At 39.6% G+C, this 1,906-nt stretch overlaps 1 non-coding gene across 1 annotated transcript; it reads left to right on the forward strand.

Annotated features, from left to right (window-relative positions):
* Positions 1-728: 728 nt before the first annotated feature.
* On the forward strand, positions 729-799 carry LOC124900309 (small nucleolar RNA SNORD56). Its single transcript, XR_007063003.1, has one exon. It is a non-coding gene; the product is annotated as a small nucleolar RNA SNORD56 (small nucleolar RNA).
* The last annotated feature ends 1,107 nt before the right edge of the window (positions 800-1,906 follow it).

Here is a 1,906-nt window from a genome sequence, read left to right on the forward strand (position 1 = left end):
ACTGATGCTGCTCATTTTTGCCCAAATTTTGAGTCACAAGATTCTAAATTAGTGGTTTGAAGTCCTACATGCGTAATCACTTGGGGAGCTCAATTAACACCCAGCACAGACTAATTATTAATAAATCAGAATCTTCAGTATTAGGCTTCAATCATTGGCTTTTTTTTTTTTTTTTTTTGAGATGGATTCTCCCACTGCTGCCCAGGCTGAAGGGCACTGGCACGATCTTGGCTCACTGCAAGCTCTGCCTCCTGGGTTGACGCCATTCTCCTGCCTCAGCCTCCCGAGTAGCTGGGACTACAGGCACCCGCCACCACGCCCAACTAATTTTTTTGTATTTTTAGTAGAGACGGGGTTTTACCGTGTTAGCCAGGATGGTCTCGATCTCCTGACCTCATGATCCGCCTGCCTTGGCCTCCCAAAGTGCTGCGATTACAGGCGTGAGCCATCGCGCCCAGCCAATCATTGACATTTTTAAAGGTCCCAGGTGATTCTAATGTGAGGTCTTTACAGACATCTTGTAAGTTAAAAACTATAAAGTGTAAAATTGTCTTTACCTCCCTTTTGGAAACCACAAATGTATGTCAAAGTTAGAACAGAAGTAGAAAGCATACAAAAATGAACTTGACAATACCCATCTACAGATCCGTGATAGGCATTTGTGTACAACTTGACCTACGTGACATTTAAGGTCAGTTTGCTCCGATTATTATTAAGAATAAAGTCAACTACAATGATGGCAATATGTTTCATCGACAGCAGTTCACCCATTGAGTGTTGATACCGTGGGTCTGAGTGAAGCTGAGGGTGGAGGAAACACAGGGTGAGGGAGCGGGATAGTTTGCCCCTTCAAGGATTGACAGGATATAACACAAAAGGCGGGAGGGGGGAAAGAATAAAGTCTACCTTCTGAGTAAAGCAAAGCAAAGTGTTCTCAGCCAATCCAAGTGGCGCCTGTAAATACCATTATCTAGAGAAAATATGATTAAAGAAGTGGCTTTTCTGTGTAGGAAGGTAAGAAGTTTCTGGATATTTGTACTGAGTAGGAATCAAGATTTCTGGGTAGAGAGGCTGGAAGAAAATCAGCGCCTAGTCCAGGAAAAAAAAAAAGAAAAAGAAAACTTCTCCGAATTTTTCTGCTTGAATTCCATGAACTCAAACTTGTAATTTAGTCTTTAAACATAATAGTGAGTCATAATATTGCCTACGTATACGTGGAAGAAAATGTTGTTTTACCTATCTTCCCAATGGGAAAAAAGTGGCTCATAAAGAAACCTTGACTTCCAACTAAACTTTCAGGTTACTTAGCCTCACATCCATTCCACTAAAATACAAGTGTGTGCTCTAAGTAGAAAGTAGAAGGATGGTTACCAGAGGCTGGGTTGGGAGAAGGGGAGGAAGGGAGTGGGAGCCTGTTGATCAAAGGGTACAAAGTTTCAGATATGGGAGGAACAGGTTTTGAGATCTATTGCACAGCAGAGTGACTGTAGTCAATAATAATGTACTACATACTTCAAAATAATGGTAAATTTCACGTCTCACCATAAAAAATGATGGGTAAGTGAGATGATGGATATGTTCATTAGCTTGATTTAATCATGCCACCTTATATATATATATATATATATCTCACATTGTAGCCTATAAATGTATACAATTATGGTTTGTCAATCAAAAATATTTATATAAATTTTTAAAATATCTGTACGCTAATAGAGATATTACAATCAGTGCCCATAGAGGAAGAAGGAGGATGTTGGATGAGTATATTTTCTTCTGATCCAACTGACTCTGCATGAAGCTTAAAAAAGTCAATTACCTCCTTTCCTTCTTTCTAGGTAGCTTTGTTGAGGTATAGGTGACCTGCAATAAACTCCACATATTTAAAACTGCACAATTTGAGAAG

The sequence above is a fragment of the Homo sapiens genome, chromosome 11, assembly GCF_000001405.40.
Source record: "Homo sapiens chromosome 11, GRCh38.p14 Primary Assembly".
Classification (NCBI taxonomy): Eukaryota; Metazoa; Chordata; class Mammalia; order Primates; family Hominidae; genus Homo; species Homo sapiens.